The 16,883-nt window shown below is 55.2% G+C and overlaps 1 protein-coding gene and 1 long non-coding RNA gene across 2 annotated transcripts in view; one reads left to right on the top strand and one right to left on the bottom strand.

Moving 5' to 3' along the window:
• The window catches only part of DAB2IP (DAB2 interacting protein), a 218,457-nt gene extending 207,293 nt beyond the window's left edge, over positions 1 to 11,164 (bottom strand). Inside the window, exon 1 of the mRNA NM_032552.4 lies at positions 11,010 to 11,164. Coding sequence (NP_115941.2) covers positions 11,010 to 11,049 — 40 coding nt within the window. The 5' untranslated portion in view covers positions 11,050 to 11,164. The remainder of the gene's footprint in view (positions 1 to 11,009) is intronic.
• An 89-nt stretch (positions 11,165 to 11,253) lies between these two features.
• LOC107987016 (uncharacterized) overlaps positions 11,254 to 16,883 on the top strand; it is a 38,337-nt gene continuing 32,707 nt past the window's right edge. The window contains exon 1 of the long non-coding RNA XR_001746560.2: positions 11,254 to 11,387. This is a non-coding gene — a long non-coding RNA (uncharacterized LOC107987016). The remainder of the gene's footprint in view (positions 11,388 to 16,883) is intronic.

Raw genomic sequence — 16,883 nt, 5'->3', positions numbered from 1 at the left:
AAAGAGACAGAGATAGACCCAGAGAGAGTCTCTGAAAGGACTACCCATCCCCTCCCTGCTGTCAGGGACCAAGTCTGAAAGAAGAGGCTCAGAAGGGTTTGGGGGACAGCCACCCCTACCCCACCCGCCACAGAACTGGCAAAGGAGAGACTAAAGGGTCTCTGAGCAGGGCACCCACCCCCCAGATTCCCTGGTGCCCTGGCTTCAGGGCCATAGAGTCAGCTTAGCTTCTCAGTCAAGCACAGGCCTTCCCAGGAGGGAGAGATCTCCACCTCTACCCCCGCCTGGAGGCAGGAGGATCCTGACCCGGGACAGCCCCCAAGGACCCCTGAGTGACGCCCTGACCTCAGGCTGCAGGGCCTAGAGCCTGGTGCCTGCTCCCTCTGCTGAGCCACCCACCCTACTGACCTCTGGTTGCCATCTGGCTGCCTCGGGCTGTTGTTTGAGGTCCCCGCCCTCCACCGCCACCTAAGAGCTGTGCCCTCCATTTTCCATGCCTAACACCCCACCATTAGCAAAGAGCAGTGTGAGGCCATTTGTCACAGAGAGAGCATGGGAGGAGAGAGAGAGGGTCTTGGGCAGGGCTGCGGGTGGGACAGCCACCCCCAGCCATGTCAGTCCCTGCAGTCCCTGGCTGTGGCTTTTCTAGGGCACAGACCAACTCTTTCTGGTGCAGTCTGTGGAACCCCAGAGCAGGAGTGTGGGCCCCCCACGCCCTCACGTGCTCACTCACGGGCTCCTGAGGAGACAGCCTGCCGAGACAGAGGCCCACTGGCAGACACACCGTGGAGCTCCTGCACTCACGCACGCCTGCCCGTGTGCGCACACACAGAGGCGCCCTGGGAATGTAGGTCACCGGCTGGAACGCTTCGAGCCTGGGGTGCTGGCGATCCGGCCATCCAGCACAGGCTTCCAGATTGGACAGAAATCCACCCCCACTCCACCCGCCTCTTCCCCCACTCTCCCGAGACAATCTGACCCAAAGCTCCTCAGGCTTGTGTTTTCTTTTCCCCAGAATCCCACTGGCTGGGGCTGTGTCCAGGGGAAGGGGCAGGGCTCCTTGTCCATGCAGCTTCTTCTCTGTGTCTGTCCCTGTGCTGGGCGATGCGGAGTCTACAAGACATGGAGGGATGTGGCTCCCACCTTGAAGAGTTCTAAGGCAGAGCCCGAGAGATGTCCTCAGACCAGAGGCGAGTAATGGTCAAGGGGGAGAACAGAGCACTGCTTTGTCAGGGCCAGGCTGGCTTCCTGGGGGAGGTGACAGGACCCTGGTTGGGCAGTTGAGTGAGGGCTTCTGCAAGCCTGGGAAAGGGAGTGGTTCTGACACACGCTGGGAAGGCCCCAGCAGCTCCCCTCCCTCCCTTCTGGAATCCAGGCCTCTCTCAAAGGTGACCGTCACCAACTTCTCTAGAGATAGCCACTGGATGGCCCTGCAGGCCCTTCAGACACAGCAAGCCCAGAACATCGTTTCCCCTCCCCCCCCAGAATCTGCCCTTCCACCCAGGTCCCCATGTCAGTGTGGACACCAACATCTCCTGCCACACAGGCCAGAGATCAGGGTTATCCTGACTTCTTTCTTTACCCACCCAGCCTCCCCTCCAAGTTTTCACTGTGGCTCACCAAGCAGCTCACAGCCCAGAGATGGGGACAAACAGTAAAGCAAATGGACTTTACTCATCAAAGTGCAGTGGGATAGCAGAAAGCCCAGGGAGCCTAGGCAGCCCAAACAAGCTAGTCAGGGAAGGCTTCCTGGAGGAGGTGACCTGAGCTGAGACTTCAGGATGGGCAGGATTGACCGGGCTGGAGGGGTAGTAGGGAAGGCTAAGATGAAAGAGTGTTTCAGGCAGCGGTAAGAGCAAGTGCAAAGGTAAGGGAGAGAGAGAGGCAGATTCAAGGCAGAAATTAATTCATGATGATGGGAGTGGCAAGAAAGTGGGGTGTGGCTTGGAGATGAGAGCAGAAGTGTATCTGCAGGGTCAGACCATGAACGGCATTAAGCTCTGTTAATGAGTTTGGATTTTATCCTGCTGCAGCGGTGGGCCCTGTGAAGTTTTTTGAATGCCTATGAGTGGCCCCTTCTGGCTGTGCACGAAGGATGAGTTGGGGGGCAGGTAGAGATGGACAGCCCCAGGAAGAGGCAAGGCAGCTGTGCAGGTGTCCAAGGTGAGGCCTGGCCTGAAGTGGGGGCTGGAGACGGAGAGTCGGGGTGGATCTCTGGACCTCTTAGGAGGTAGCATGGACCGTAAGTGGGCCTGGTTTCATCTTCTCTGACCTCCATCTTCCCATGATGTAACAGAGAATGGACAGGAGGACCTCAAGAGACCCTTCCCCTTGGGTCTCCCTACACCTTGGCCATTTGCTATTTGTTCCAGCCTCCCTGGGCTTCCAGAGTTGAGACCTTGGGAGGAATCCCAGCTGGGAGGACCACAGCTCTGGCTTTGGAAGGCCCAGGGTGGGCTAAGCAGCCCAGGGCGTATCCACCCAGCAGAAGGAACAGACGGGGCAGTGGGAGCAGAAGGCTAGACTCTGGATATCCTGCAGTCAGCCCAGGGAGGCCAGTGAGGGGAAGCTGGGGACACACTGGGCCTGATGTGTGGGGTCCACCTGCCTCTTTGGAATAAGGAGGGCTGTGGCAGCCATCCAGCAACCTGAGCATGAGTCAGGCCACATTACTTGAAGGACCGATACTCAAGCGAGTGTGTCAGTTTCTTCCTCTGTAAAACGGGAATTGAACAATATACCAAGAAACACATTCGGTGGTAGGAAAGCTTAGGGGACCCGGATCATGCTACAGATTGACTTAAAGATCTTTGACTCTGCACCAGGTCCCGTGGCGGAGGAGCCAGCCTGAGGCAGTGGCTGTCCAGGACCACAGAAGAAGGAAGGATCTATCCTGCTTGGTCCTCACAAGAGAGGAGCCCTGCGCGGTGGCTGCTGCTGTCCCCATCCCTCCGAGGCTCTGAGAATCAACTGGCCTGGCTCACAGGTCACACGGAGGCGCAGCAGATAGAAGCCCAGGCCTGGGGGTGTTAAGTACAGTTCAGGAGGGGCTCTCCAGGAGCCTATGGGAAGTGAAATGTCCGCGTCCTATGCACATAGGTGCTCCCTCCCTTTCCCTGTCCCTCTCTCTGGGGAAACCAACTCTTCTCTCTTGAGCTTTATCCTGGCTCTTCCCCGCCCTGCTCCAGGCACAGGGGCTCCCTCCTCACCAGCCAACCCCCACTGCAGCCTCAGCCCCTGACCTTGTTATGAGGCCAGCTGCTCAGGCTTGTGTGTGGAAATGACCTAAGCCCCTCCCGAGCTGGCCTCTTTGTTCTTTATTGTCTGTTCCTCCTGATTGCGCCTCTTCCCAGAGTCTCAGGGCAAGGGGAGGGGGCGTGTGGCTCTACCACTCATCCAGCTGCCCAGCTGGGCAAGTTCAGAAGCCCCCCGCATGGCTGGCCAGCAGAACCGAGGCCCCCCTGGGCATGGGAAAGGGCCCTGGATTGGGGGCCAGGAGACCCAGTGGGGTGGTGGGAGCAGCCCAAAGTGGAGAAAGCTCACAGGATCTTGGGAGTCCTGGGTTTGAATCACAAGTGTTCCTCACTCGCTGTGTGGCAGGGCCCTTCTAAGCCTTGATTTTCTCCTCTGAGCTGTGGGGTTGTTCCTTCCTCTGTGAGGAGTCAGTGGAGAACATTTAGCAGTGAGCCAGGCACACAGTAAATGCTCATAAATAGGACCCCAGCTCTGCATCCTTGGCCTAATTTTTTCACTTATAGAAGGGCTCCAGGTATGAATGTGGCTTCTCTTCCTTCATTTTTCTGAGGCCCAGGCAGCCTGGTCTAGGACAGAGCCCTCGAACAAGATGGAAGGGATCTAGATTCTGGCGTCCCTTCCCCATTCCAGGCAGGCTAGGCTGGTGTCAGTTTCACAGATGGGGAAATGGAGGCTCGATGAGAGCCCAGGTCTTTGGCTGGCACCTGCTGAGTGAGCTGAGTGGCAGAGCCAGGAGGAGGCCTCAGAGGGAGGGCAGGCCTAAGCAGGGGAAGCGAGACGATGGATGGGAGGCCAGTGGCTGGACACATAGCTGTTATTTTTTACAATTATTATCTATCTGTCACCAGTTGAAGCTAATCCCTCTGCCTCTCAAAGGAAGGCCCAGGGAGTCATGATATCAGGCCCCCTGATGACATTAGGCTATTTTGGCCTCAAATTGTCTTCTCTTTAGACCATCCCTGTCCCACAGCTGAGTCTGCCTCTCGCCTTGGCCAGCTGAGCTGACATGGCTCCTGCCACATCTCTGAGCTGCTTCAGTGAACGCTCCCCGGGAGAGAGGATTTTCCACAGGCACAGGGAGGGGCCTCCAGGTGGCAGCTTTGGCACACAATGGCTTTCAGGACTGCAGCAAAATAAAGATATCAGGCTTTGTAGCTGGAGAAAGCTGGGTTCAAATCAGTGCACTCACTGCGTGATCAGGGCCAGTCACGTAACCTCCTTGGGCCTCAATTTTCTCATCTGGAAAATAAGGCTAACTGCAACCCACCAGGTGTATTGCAAGGATTCAGAAGACAATGTAGGCCAGATGCAGTGGCTCACACCTCTAATCCCAGCATTTTGGGAGGCCAAGGTGGGCAGATTACCTGAGGTCAGGAGTTCAAGACCAGCCTGCTCACATGGCAAAACCCCATCTCTACAAAAACAGAAAAATTAGCCGGGCCTGGTGTTGCGCGCCTGTAGTCCCAGCTACTCAGGAGGCTGAGGCAGGAGAATTGCTTGAACCCAGGAGGTGGAGGTTGCAGTGAGCCAAGATCATGCTACTGCACTCTAAACTGGGCGACAGAGTGAGACTCTATCTCAAAAAACAAAAAACAAAACAAAAAAATGCTGGGCACGGTGGCTCACGCCTGTAATCCTAGCAGTTTGGGAGGCCAAGGCGGGTGGATCACCTGAGGTCAGAAGTTCGAGACCAGCTTGACCAACATGGCGAAACCCCGCCTCTACCAAAAAATTCAAAATTAGCCAGGCTTGGTGACGCATGCCTGTAATCCCAGCTACTTGGGAGGTTGAGGCAGGAGAATCGCTTAAACCCAGGAGGCAGAGGTTGGAGTGAGCCGAGATTGCGCCATTGCACTCCAGCCTGGGCAACAAGAGCGAAACTCCATCTCAAAAACAAACAAACAAACAAACCAAAACAGAAGACAGTGTAGATAAAGTGTCTTTGGATCCTGGCATGGAGTAGGTGCTTACCAAACAGTTATTACAGCAGTAGCATTGGGAAGTTTACAAACTCACATCCACCTGCTTCTCTGCTGGGATCTGCCAACAACCCTGAGGTAGATGCCCATGCTGGTTGTCATCAGGAAGAAATGGAAAGTTCTGAGCTTTTGAGCTGCCTGCTCCACCTCCATGATATCGAAAGCAACCACCCGCTTCTGGAGGGTTTATCCCAGCGGGCTGTCTGAGCCCAACCCCCGCTCCTGTACGAGTCACAGACTCCCCTGACAGGTGTCCAGCCTCACACTGTTTTGCCTCCTTACTCCTCCAGAGCTCCAAGACCGCCTGAAAAACAGGCAGGGCAGGGCTGAGTCTGCCCATTTGTCAGATGAGGAAGCTGAGGCTAAGTCAGGGCAGGGACTTGGTCCAGGCCACCCAATAACCGAGAGAGCTGGGATGAGATGCAGGCCTGCTCTCTTGGGGCATGGGGCCCAGCACCCTCAGCTGACAGCTAAGGAACCAGAAGTCCAGAGTCGGGGAGGATGCCTAAGGATGCGGAGCAAGTTAAGGGCAGGATCCAGCTCATGCCACTCATTAATTCACTCACTCTCGCTCACTTATTCATTCATTCATTCATTCATTCATTCATCCACTGAGTATGTATTGAGTGCCTTCTCAGGACCAGTGCTGTGCAGCACCCTGGGAACCCAGTGGCAGACAAGATACAGCCCCTGCCCTCAAGGGCCTTATAGTCTCATGTGGGAGTCAGGCTGGTGAGCAGACAATGAAAACACACCCAGGCGGAGGAAGCACCAGGAGCTGTCCTGGTAGGAGGACGGTACCCACGAAGTGGAGAAATAGCAGGACTCCAAAAGAACCCGGAGAAAGCATATTTTGCAGGGCAGGACTTTTTCTCTTATGCTGGCCGCTGCCAGGCCTCTGTCTTGCCCCCTTCTTTGGAAATCACAAGGCAGACGGAAAGGACATGCTTCTCTGAGCTGGACTTTTCACACAGCTCCAAGGGGCTGGCACCAGAGGGGACAGTCACATCTTGTCTGGCCGTCACCCCAATTTACACCTAGGGAAACTAAGGCCAATCACAAGGGCTCTGCAGGGGTTAGTGCCGAGTTTCCGAGCTCTCCCCTTCTCCTCACCTTCCTGCCTCTGACTGTCCTGTAAAAGAAACCTCTGCACCTATGTCTGCTCCTCGCTGCAGCTGTGTCTGAGCCCTTCTTGGCCATGCTCTAAGGGGCTCCCACCGCCAGACCACCCAATAGGGCTCTGCTCAGTCCTGCCTGCTAAGAGGCTTAGGCCTCCAGAACTTCAGTGCCAGTGGCTGCGGATCCCCCACCATGCCATGGCTGAACCCTTTCAGCCTCTGAACACCTGATGGATGCAATCAGAACTGGGGTCTTCACTAGACGAAAGGCGCTTTGCTCAGCTTGAAGCAGGGAGAGATGTCCAGAGCCTCACCCCCAGCTTTGCAGCTCCCAACCCTTCCCCATCCCCATCAATGTTCCTGAGCCCCCTAAAGGAGCTCAGCTTGCCAACCCCTGACCAAGATTGTAAGTATCAGAGAATGCTCCAAAGCATCACCAGTCTCCATGCCTTTGCACCTGCTGTTTCTTCTGCCCTGGAATGCCTTTCCTTGCCTTTTTGCCTGCACCAACTGCATTTGTTCACTCACTCATTCAACAAGCATTTGTTGGATGCTTACTCCTGCCAGGTGGAGAACTATGCTCTGGGGATCCAGATTGCTTAGAGACTCACGGGAGATGCAGGTGAAACACATCAGCATGCAATAATGTGTAGTGCACATATGAACACGTCCATAAAGGAAAAGAGGGCCTATGAGAGTGATGCATTGGGGGAACATGGTTTAAGGAGGGCTTCTCTGAGGAGGTGACTTTTCAGTTGATACTGGGAAGAGGAGGAGGAATTAGCTCAGGGAAGAGAAAGAGGAAGGATGCTCAAAGGCCCTGGGGGGAGACAGCTTGGGGGCGTGAGGAAGGTCAGATCTGATGGCGGGAAGCGAGGGAGTGAGGGGTGAAGGAGGAAGAGTTCAATCATGAAGGAGCAGAGGAGGCAGGCACTGGCGAAGGGACCCTGTGGGCAGCAGCAGGAGAGAGAGCCCCAGGAGAAGGGGCCAGCCAGAGATAATGGGAGGAAACCCCGAGAGCAGCCTGTCCCAGAAGCCAGGCCGGCACTGTGGCTCATGCCTGTAATCCCAGCACTTTGGGAAGCCGAGGCGGGCAGATTGAGAGAGCCCAGGAGTTTGAGACCAGCCTGGGCAACGTGGGCAAACCCTGTCTCTACAAAAAATACAAAAATTAGCCAGGCATGGTGGTGCATGCCTGTAGTCCAGCTATTCTGAAGGCTGAAGCAGGAGGATTGCTTACACCCAGGAGTTCGAAGCTGCAGTAAGCTGTGATCATGCCATTGCACTCTAGCCTGGGTGACAGAGTGAGACCCTGTCTCAATAAAAAAGGAGGGTGTTGTGGACTGAACATGTGTATCCCTCCCATCCTCAAGTCATATGTTGAACTCCCAGCGTGGCTCTGTCTGGAAATGGGGCCTCTAAGGAGTAATTAAGGTTAAATGAGGTCATAAGGATGGGGCCCTAGTAGGATTAGTGTCCTTATAAGAAGAGACAAAAGGATCACAGCACTTTGGGAGGCTGAGGCAGGTGGATCACTTGAGCTCAGGAGTTCGAGACCAGCCTGGGCAACATGGCGAAAACCTGTCTCTACCAAAAATACAAAAAATTAGCTGGGCATGGTGTTGTGCACCTGTGGTCCCAGCTACTCGGGAGGCTGAGGTGGGAGGATGGATTGAGCCTGGGAAGTGGAGGTTGCAATTGAGCTGAGATCGCACCACTGCACTCCAGCCTGGATGACAGAGTAAGACCCCATCTCAAAAAAAAAAAAAAAAAAAAAAGAGAAAGAGAAAAGGGCTGACTGCTGTGGCTCACGCCTAGAATCCCAACACTTGGGACCCTGAGGCATTGGAATTGCTTGAGCCCGAGAGTTCTAGACCAGCCTGGGCAACACAGCAAGACCCCATCTCCACACACACACAAAAATTTTAATTAGTGAGGTGTGGTGGTGTATGTTTGTAGTCACAGCTATTCAGGAGGCTAAGACAGAAGGATCCCTTGAGCCTAGGAGTTCAAGGCTGCAGTGACCTTTGATCACATCACTGCAAAATGTTATTATTACTTCTGAGATGGCATCTCGCTCTCTGTCGCCCAGGCTGGAGTGCAGCAGCGTGATCTTGGCTCACTGTAGCTTTTGCCTCCCGAGTTCAAGTGGTTCTTATGCCTCAGCCTCCCAAGTAGCTGGGATTAAAGGCATGCACCACCATGCCTGGCTAATTTTTTGTGTTTTTAGTAGAGATGGGGTTTCACCATGTTGGCCAGGCTGGCCTCAAACTCCTGACTTCAAGTGATCCACCTGCCTCAGCCTCCCAAAGTGCTGGGATTTCAGGCATGAGCCACTGCGCCCAGCCTTCTGTTTTAATTTCTGTTTCTGAAATCTTTGTTGTGTGAGTCACCTTGTCTATTTCGTTACAGCAGCCTGAGCTGATCAATATAGAGGGAATCATTGACTTCTTCAGTGGAGGAGTCACCTCTGCCAGGAAGCCTTTCTGGATTCCAAGTATAGGGTTAGGGCTTCCACACGCCTTGACTTCCCCCATCAGTGCACCTGCATCTCTCTCAGATTAGCCTAGGAAAGTCACAAAGTTTGATTTGTTCTTGAACACCAAAGCCCAGTCCAGAACCTGAAAGTAATTGTTAAATTGATGAATGTAGAACCGGGGCTCAGACTGGGGAAGTGACTCACTGAGACCGCAGTTTTCCTGTGCTGCCCTGACCCAGGATGGCCTCCTTCAGCCCTGGACCCCTGAGGCTGGCTGGGTGGGAGACCTTGGCTGGAAAAGCCAGACCCCTCTCCAGCTGGGCCTGGGATTGCTCCCAGAGAGAGCCTGGGCTCCACTCCATGCCTGCCTGTCCCTTTCCTAAGGCCCCCTCTGTCCCTTTCCTCTTCCTCTTGAATCCCTTACCTCCCTGCCTGGCCAGCTTCCAGGAGATCAGCAACCGGCCTCGTGACAGGCCAGGACAAGGAGCTGATTGTGCATGGGGCCTTTCCATGAGGGTGGAGGCAGCCTCAGTTTCCAGCCTTGCCCAGCCCAGAGGCTGCTACTAGCAAATCTGGAGGACAGCAAGTGGGGACTGTGGGTTCCTGAGATATCCCTGGCTGGGGCTGGTCCTTCCCACCCCCTCGCCTGCCTCTTCAAAGGTCAGTGCCCTCCCTAGGGGAGCATCCAGACATCCAATGAGTCCATACGCATCCCAATGCCAAGCTTCCAGTGAACAGCTCTGGAGGCAGGCAGGCCTGTCCCACACCCTCAGGCTGTCTGCCCCTGGCCTCCCCAAGGACCGCATCACTCTGAATTTAGTCTGGGATCGTTTGTCTGTCTCCCATTCCAGACTGGGAGCTCTTCCAGGCCAAGGGCTGCTCTCCCTATTTTTTTCCCTCTCTCCTCCCTTTGTATTCTCCTCCTCCTTCCATTCACTAAGCACCAACTATTTGTTAGGACTGAGTTCCTCATTCCTACACATCCCTGACCCTGACACAGGGCTTGGCACATGGAGGTCACTCTGCATGCATCAACTGACCCCCCGTCCCCTGGGCCCAAAGATGCCAGGTCTGTGGGCTGGGCCTTGCCAAGCTTCCCTGAGGGCTGCAGCTCCAAACGTGGCAAAGGGCCCCTCTCCTTGGAAAGGGCTGAGCTCCTGCAGGAGGAAGGAAATTTGGCCTTGAATCTGTGCCAGGCAGCCAGGCCTGGATGGGGTGGGGGAAAGTCCGGAGAAACAAGCACTTGGTTTTCTTAGTAGAACTGTGGTCTCAGGAGGACCTGAACCCCTGGAAGGCTGACCTGACCCAAGCTGGGATGAGGTCGCCCTGCAATTACCACCTCTTCCGAGGCCAACAGGACTTCTCCCTGCTGAGTCCCAAAACCTGCTGCCCCACCCCCCCATGCCCAGCCTCGGTGCCTCGGCCACACTCTTGCACTCTTGCGTCCCTCCTTGGTTGTCCAGAGACAGCCAGGCTGTGCCGGGCATCCCAGCCAAATGTGAGCTCTCTGGCCAGGCTGAGTAGTGCAGGAGCTGAGTTACTGCGTCGCTGGAGCCCCAGGCCTGCAGAAACCACCACGAAGGAACCCTTCCGAGTCTTATAAATCCCTCTTCCAGACTCTGCATGGGCTCTGTCCCGAGCAACTTTTCCCCCAATAATGCATGCAGAGCTTCCAGTGGCCTGGGCAGCTCTCCGGTGGCAGCCACTGGGGCCCTGTCACACGGGGAGTGCTTTCAGCATGAGCCCTGGCCTTTAATTACAAGGTATGTTCCTGTTGCCTCTTCCATCTATATTTATCCGCAGGATCGCACTAATTGAATTCCCCACAGCACAGGGCAGGCCTGGCGAACAGCGAGGTAGGCAGACAGGCAGGGGGGCTGCAAAACTTCCTTCCTTTCCTTCTTGGCCAGGAGCAAAACAGAAGCAGCTGAGAAACTCTCTCTCCCTCCCCTGGACCTTGTCAATGCCTGGAGTCTGAGGGGCTGCCCGCTCCAGGGACCCTCCAGCCCTGAGTCTCATAGCCCAACGCACCCATGCCCACCCATGGGTCCCAAGACCAGACAGTGCCCAGATGCCTGACTGCCTCCCTGCTTCAACTCAGATTCCTATAGCAGAGAAAAGTCTGTTGAGCAGAGAGGCTGAAACCCCCAACTCTGCACTTTGCTGGCACCGTCTTACCGTAGGAGTCGTCTTGGTCCAGAAGGGAGTCGGGCTCCATGGCGTGTGGGCCCCCAGCCCCTGGCCCCACCTGATTTATGAACCGAGGCTGTCTCCATGAGCGTCTGGGTTCCTCCTTTTGTATTCCATCTGGCGGCTTTTCCAACTAGATGACTGGGTATTCCTGCAAGCAGGCCCCTTTCCAGCCCTCGCCTTCATACAGTACATTTAAAGTAGCAGTAACCTCTTTTTCCTCCCCCCGCAGCCTGGCTGGAAACATTAGAAGGGACTGAGGCAGCGAGATGTCTAAAATAGGAAGACGCCGGGACGGTTGGCCTGGCTGCCCGTGATGCTGGCTGCGGGGATCTGGCCCGGCTGTGCAGATGGAAAAGCTAAGAGGTGAGGCTGAGACGGGCTTAGCATCTGGAAGCCGGCTCTGGGGCCCAGGGGGTTTGCAGGAAGCGGGGAGCCCAGCCCCCCAGGGGAGGGGTTGGGGGGTCTGCTCTGTTTACCCCCAGTGCCCAAACCCCAAGGGCTTCTCCCAGGCCCTGCTGGAACCTCCCACTCAAATCTGTTCTACAGACATTTCCCGCAGTGTGGGGGATGCAGAAATTGACTCATCCATCCATTCAGTTAGTCACTAAATGTTTTTTGAGCATCTAGTCTGCACCAGACACCGTGCCCGGTGCTGAGTTTGCAGCAGGGAGCGAGGCACAGTGCCTGGCTTCTTGGAGCTCACAGGAAAGCAGGTCATTGCAGCGCAGTGTGTGGTGCAAGAGCTGCAGGAACAGAGAAGGGGCGCCTCACCTGGATGGAAGAGGTGGTCGGGGAAGGCCTCCTGGAGGAATGGGCACGTAAGCTGGGGCCTAAAGGACGAGAAGGAGTTAGCCAGGTACAGAAGGAGGGAGTGACCTGTGCAATAGCCCTGAGGTGAAAGGGTGCGTGGGGCGTTCAGTGCCCCCCCGAATAAGTTCCAGGTGGTTGGAGTAGAGCAAATGATGCGAGGCTGGTGAGAGATGGGACGGGGGAGCCAGGGAGAGAGGCAGGAGTGGGTTGGACAGAGCCTTTGGGGATGACTCCAGGCCTGCCTGGAGGAGGGTCTGTGAGAATGACATGATCCGGATTGTCCTCTGGGAAGGCCTCCCTGGTGACCTTGTAAAAGAGGGGAAGCCACCAGGGGAGAGGGAGATGCAGGCTCCACGGCCACAGCTGTAGGAACCCTGGGTGCTATTTATTAAGCAGGCACCAGAGGTGAGCACCATTTCAAGTATTTGCCCACATTGTCTCATACATTCCTCACTATGGTCCCTTCCAGGAGAAACTCTGGTTCTCCTATTTTACAGACGGGGACAATGCAGTTTAGAGAGGTGATGTGACTTGACCAAGGCCACAGTTGTGAGTGACCACCAGGGCAGGTCTGGACCCCAGAGAGTGCACAGCCTTGGTGCTGGGATGGTGGGGAGGACAAAGATGCATCTCAATCAATCTGCATTCAATCTGCATCTCCTAGGCGGGCGTGGTGGCTCACACCTGTAATCCCAGCACTTTGGGAGGCTGAGGCGTGCGGATCACCTGAGGTCAGGAGTTAGAGACCAGCCTGGCCAACATGGTGAACCCCCATATCTCTACTAAAAATACAAAAAATTAGCCTGGTGTGGCGATGCGTGCCTGTAATTCCAGCTACTTGGGAGGCTGAGGCAGGAGAATCACTTATATCCGGGAGGCGGAGGTTGCAGTGAGCCAAGATCGTGCCACTGCACTCCAGCCTGGGCGACAGAGCGAGAGTCCATCTCAAAAAAAAAAAAAAAAAAAAAAAATCTGCATCTTCCTCTCCCACAAGCCCACCCAAGCCACAGGGCAGTACCGTGGGCTTATGGGAGACAGCTTCATTTGGGCTCAACCAGGGAAGGCTGCCGAGAGGAGGAGGTGTTTGAACTGGGCAGAGAAAGAAGAGCAGAATTTGATGGGCCAAGCAGGGAAAAGTGAGGGCGTCCCAGTTAGAGGGAATGGCACAAGCAAAGGCGTGGAGGCAAGAAGGTAACACACAATGGAAATGACAGGTGACTGGGAGGAAGTCAGGGCTGATAAGCAGGTTTGGGCTAGATCAAGAAAGGGCCTGGAGTGCCAGCCTGGGGGTGTGGGCGTGTTCCAGAGGGTGACACACAGCCCCAGCAGGCATTTGTTCCAGGGAAATGACCTCCTTCTCAATGGCTGCCTGGGAGCTCCTGCAAGCGGCTCCCCGCAGCCTTCTTAACGCTCTGCTCTGAAAGCAGGAGAAATCCTCTATCCCCACAGCATGGCTGGAACACTAGAAGCCAAGCCTTGGTGACCTGGTTTTTGGAGACATGGCTCTGGTGCTGGGGTGGAGGAGACATTTAGAGAAGGGAGATACAGGGAGACAGGGAGTGAAGGCAGGAGGCTAACAGGAGGGTCCAGGCCAGGGGTGGCAGAGAGGTAAGAACCCACCGGGCTTGCTCCTGGCCACCCACTGCTGCCCAGAGCAGCCAGTGGCTGCTGACGTGGTTGGCCTGGCTACAGGGAGGTTCCTTCAGTCACTCGTCACCCCTCCTCCCCAACCTCGGATGACAGGGATCCCAGCTCCCAACCTCCCGCTGCCTTAATTACAGGGAGACTGGCCCTACCCAGGCTAGCTGCAGGCACCAGGCTCCCTGGCTCTAATCAGTGGGTAGGGCAGACTGGGGGTTGAGGAGGCAGAAGGGGGAAATCAGGTCCTTGGACCACTAGCCAGTGGACGGATTCAGGTCCAGGTCTCCCTAGTCCTCCAAGGCCCCAGGGGATCTGCGTGTCCATTTGTACATATGCACACGTGGTCTCTTTTCAGATAGAATGTGGTGGTTAGCAGGATGGGGCTGAAATTGACCATCTGGATTTATATCCAGGCTCTGCCACCAACTAGCTGGGTGCCACTCGGTGAGTTACTCAACTCTTGTGAGTCGCGTTGGCAGAATGGGGCTACTCAAGCCCTTACTTCAGATAGTTATTGTGCAGATGAAATGGGGTAATGTGCATCAAAGTCTTAGGGCAGGTCTGGGTGTGTCCTAAGCACTCAGTAAAGGGCACTGCTCTTCCTCATACAAATTTTATCATCTCCCCAGCTTAGTAAAGGAAGCGTGGGAGAACATGGGCCCATTTTACAGATGAGGAAACTGAGGCTCCAAAAGAAAGGACTCAACTTGAGGGTCTACATGGAGGCTCAGGATGCACCCTTCACTCGGCTGGCTGTACCCCCAGAACCTGCTGAGAGCAGAAGTAGTGGGAAGAAGATCTGGACCCCAACTCTGGCTGTGCCTCTAGGCAGTGCTGTGACCTAGGGAGAGGGTCTTGCTTCCCTGGGCCTCACTTTCTTCACCAGTCAAGGTACAGACTTGGATGACCCTGACAGTTCCCACCTCCCAATCCATTTCCCTCTTGTTATGAATTAGACATGTTTAAGTACAACCAGAGCTCCTACCCTCCAGGGATTAATCGTATTGAACATCGGGCACTAGGCTCTGCTTCCCTCCCTTTATGATAAGAGACCCATCTATTTAGTGGCTGCGTAACATTCCACCCTTTGGCTGTGTCACACCTGCTTTGAGCCAATCCCCTATTGATGGACACCTAGGTTGCTGCCAGTAGTCATGATGACAAGCAACGCTGCAAGGACTATCTTGACTGTACTTCTGTGGGCATCTGTCTACTGATCTCCTTAGGAGAAAACCCTAGACATCAACTTGCTGGGTCAAAAGGCGCCTGTGTTTGCAAAATTCCCAGTGTGGCGGCAAAGCGCGTGCAAGCCCCCTCTGTTCTTTTATTCATTCCACCAGCTGTTGTTGAGTCTGATTTTGTGCCCGGCCCTGTAGAAGGCCTGGGATGGTGGGTGTCCCTGCTCCTTTGAATTTCCACCCTAGCTGGGGGGAGACACGCACGCTGTCTGGTAGAAAGGAGTGCTATTCAGAGAATTACATGGGGGCTGCACAACAGAGCAGGTGATATCCAAGCAGCAACCTGCCAGGCAAACAGAAGCCAGCCATGCAGAGTTCAGGGGCCGAGCATCCAGGAGTGGGCAGAGCTGCTGCAAAGCCGGGGTGAGAGTGAGCTGGCTGAGCAGGAGGGTAGGAACGATGGCCAGCATGGCCAGGGCTGGGAACCGCTGGAAGAGTAGTCCAGGAGAAGAGGGGAAGGTCACAGAGGCCACCTCTCCAAGGACCTTGTGGGCCAGGGGATGTGGGAGCCATTGCAGGTTGAAGCAGGAGAGTGACATGAGAGGTTCCCTGGCTACAAGGGGAAGGTGGCCGGAGGAGTGGCCAAAGAGGATGCAGGAAGCCAGTGGGTCACTGCTGTGGTCCCTAAGGAGAAAGACCTCAACCAGGGTGTTGGTAGCAAAGGTGGGGAAAAGTAAACAGATTCAGGATACATGTGGGGGCCGGGCACGGTGGCTCACACTTGTAATCCCAGCACTTTGGGAGGCCGAGGTAGGCGGATCACGTGAGGTCAGGAGTTCAAGACCAGCCTGGCCAACATGTTGAACCCTCGTCTCTACTGAAAATACAAAAATTAGCTGGGTGTGATGCTGGGCATCTGCAATACCAGCTACTCGGGAGGCTGAGGCAGGAGAATCACTTGAACCCAGGAAGCGGAAGTTGCAGTGAGCTGAGATTACATCATTGCACTCCAGCTTGGGTGACAGAGTGAGACTCAGTCTTGAAAAAGAAAAAAAAGATATATGTGGGGACCTCACGCACAGCCTGACAGATGTGGAGGAAGAGAAAAGAAACATGTCCAGGCAGACTCTGAGGCTCTTGGCCTGAGCAAGTGGATTGGTCCATGGAGCTGGGAGAGGCTGTGTAGAGAGGGGTAGGGCTGGGCAGAGGGAACTCTGCTGTGGTGACGATAAGTTTGAGAAATGTAGACAGACATGTGGCGATGTCCGGCAGGTCACTACTGGCTGCGGGATCAGAGCTCAGTGGAGTGGTGGGGACAGAGGGCATAGCTCTGGGAGCCATAGCTCCCACCAGCCCACTGCATGATCCTGTTCCAGCAGCAGCAGGAATTCCCAGGTTCCAGACATGACCTGTCACTCCATGTAAAGGAAGGAGCTGAGGAGTCACTGGTGGCAGCTGGCCCCCCGAGTCTGGCTGCGTGGAGGGATGTCAGCAGGAGGGAGTGGGTGGACCAGGGTCCTTCAGTGGGCATCAGGGAGAGACAGCAGCACCTGGTGGCCAGCTTGTTCATTGGCTGCCCTGTTGGGGAGGATGTGGCCAGTGAGGGTGGCACAGCAAGATGTGGCATCTGCCCCACTCACCCCCTCTGCCCCTGCCAAGGCCTGGGCTGGGTGGAGATGGGGGAGCCAAACACAAAGGAATAATTGAAACCAAAACCCAGGGGCCTAAAAGCTGTAAGAAGACAGGTCTAGGGTAAAGGAGCAGCATGAGAGAGGAGTGATCTGCTCAGCCGGATCCAGAAAGCCTTTGCAGAGGTGGGGCCAGCCCAGTTGGACTATGAGGGATGAAGAGGAGTTCATCAGGCAGACTGGAGGAGGACGGGCATGTGGCACTACTGTGTATCAAGGCATGCAAATGTGTGACAGCCTGGCTGTGTTTGCTTTCAGGTTATTTTCCTGCTGTGAGTTCTGATTTTTGTTTTGTTTTGTTTTGTTGAGACAGAGTGTTGCTCTGTGCCCTAGGCTGGAGTGCAGTGGCGCAATCTCAGCTCACTGCAAGCTTCGCCTCCCAGGCTCCAGCAATTCTCATTCTTCAGCCTACCAAGTAGCTGGAATTAGAGGCACACGCATCTGTACCTGGCTAATTTTGTATTTTTTGTAGAGATGGGGTCTCACCATGTTGGCCAGGCTGGTCTCAAACTCCTGGCCTCAAGGGATCTGCCCAGAGTGCT

This window comes from Homo sapiens, chromosome 9 (genome assembly GCF_000001405.40).
Source record: "Homo sapiens chromosome 9, GRCh38.p14 Primary Assembly".
Classification (NCBI taxonomy): domain Eukaryota; kingdom Metazoa; phylum Chordata; class Mammalia; order Primates; family Hominidae; genus Homo; species Homo sapiens.
Note: the sequence above shows the minus strand (reverse complement) of the source record. Positions and strands in the feature narration are given on the sequence as shown.